Raw genomic sequence first — 2,233 nt, forward strand, 5'->3', positions numbered from 1 at the left:
TGGTAGTTTTTTAGAGCAACCCAAACAAACTAAGACAATTCTGAATTTTGATAACTTGAGTTTTCTCTCTTTTTCTTTTGGTCAGTTTAGATAAAGTTTTGTCAATTTTGTTGATCTTTTCAAAAAGCTACATTTGGGTTTCATTAATTTTCATTAATTGTCTATTTAATTAATTTCTGATTCAATCTTTTTTTCTTCTGCTTGCTTTAAATTTACTTTTTAATATCTGAAGGTGATTATGAATTTCAAATCTTTCTTAATTTTCAAATATAGATGTTTATAGGCATAAATTTGCCTCCAAACACTGCTTTACCTGCTCTTCATAGATTTTGATATTTTGTGTTTTCATTTTTATTCATTTCAAAGTGTTTTTGAATTTGCCTCATGGTTTTTTTGACCAATTGATTATTTTGAAGTGTGTGGTTTAATGTCTACTATTTATGCATCCCTCAAATTTCTTGTTATTTATTTTCTCATTCTGTTATTGATTTCTTTATTCCAATGTGACCAGATAATAAACTTTGTATGATTTCAATTATTTTAAGTGTGTTGAGGCTTTTATTGTTGCCTACCATATAGTCTATCTTGGAGAATGTTTCATTTTCATTTGAGAATAATGTGTCTCATCTAGGTATAGAGTGTTCTATGGGTATCTATTAGGTATAATGGGTTTATAATGTTGTTCAAGTCTTCTGTTTCCTTGTTGATCATCCTCATAGTTGTTTCTCCATTGTTTGAAAGTGGACCATGAAGTCTCTGAATATTGTTGTTGAATATGTATTTCTTTATGTCTGTTTCTCCCTTCAATTTTGTTAACTTTTCTTCATGTATATTGAGACTGTTTTTAGGTGAATATGTGGTTATAAATGTTATATCTTCCTAAGGATATCTTTTTATTATTAAAGATGTCCCTCTTTCTTTCTTGTAGCATTTTTTTAAAGTTCTATATGTCTAATATTAATACAGACATTTCAGCAACCTTATGGTTGCTATTTGCATGATATATTGTTTCCATCCTTTTACTTTCAATCTATTTGTATCTATAAATCTAAGGTGTGTCAACTCTAGACAGCATATAGTTGGTTCTTGCTTTTTCATCCAGTTTGATAATATCTACCATTTTATTGAGGATTTTTTTTTTTTTTTTTTTTTTTAAGATGGAGTCTTGCTTTGTCGCCCAGGTTGGAGTGCAGTGGTGCAATCTCAGCTCACTGCAACCTCTGCCTTCGGGTTCAAGCAATTCTCCTGCCTCAGCCTCCTGAGTAGCCGGAACTACAGGCACATGCCACCACACCTGGCTAATTTTTGTATTTTTAGTAGAGATGGGGTTTCACCATGTTGGCCAGGATGGTCTCTGTCTCCTGGCTTTGTGATCCACCCACCTTGGCCTCCCAAAGTGCTGGGATTACAGGCATCAGCCACCATGCCCAGCCTTATTGAGTTATTTAATTTACTTACATTTAGTGTTATTATTGGTAAAACAGATTTAATTCTTCCACTTTTTGTTTTCTATGTCTCATGTCTTTTAGTTCCTTTGTTGTTTGCTTTTGTATTAATAAATATTGTCTAGTGTTATACTTTTTATTTCTTTAACAATTTTTTTAAGTTTTTTGTTTTTTCGTGGTTGCTCTAAGACTTGTCACATGCATCTTAACTTATCAGAACCTACTACAGAGTTTTACTGACAAGTCCAGTAAGATATGGAAATTTACCCCTGCATAGTTTTTCTTTTTCTGCCTTTTGCTGCAGTTATCATTACATATATTGCATTTAAGCATGTTACAAATGCAGCAATACATTGTTATAAGTATTAATTTATATAATTGTATGTCTTTTAAAGAATCAGAGAGCAGAAGAGAGCAAATGCTTATAGTTTTTGTCGTATTAACCATCTTATTTAGCATTTCTTCTCTTTGTTTATCTTGTAGATTTGGGTTATCATCTGGTATCACATCCTTACTCCAATACTGCTTTGCTCACACCCATATTCTTTGTAATATTATTAGTTTATATGTGTTATAGGCCTAACAATGAAATTATAAGCATACTGTTTTATTCATTTGTTTTGTAGATCAATTAAGAGAAGAATTAATATGCATTTATACTATCTTTACTACTACATAATTACCTTTAACCATGCTCTTTTTCTCTATTTTGCTTCCTTTTTTTTTCCTTTTTTTTTTTTTTTTTTTTTTAGATGGAGTCTTGCTCTGTCACCCAGGCTGAAGTCAGT

Source organism: Homo sapiens, chromosome 6 (assembly GCF_000001405.40).
Source record: "Homo sapiens chromosome 6, GRCh38.p14 Primary Assembly".
NCBI classification, from domain to species: Eukaryota; Metazoa; Chordata; class Mammalia; order Primates; family Hominidae; genus Homo; species Homo sapiens.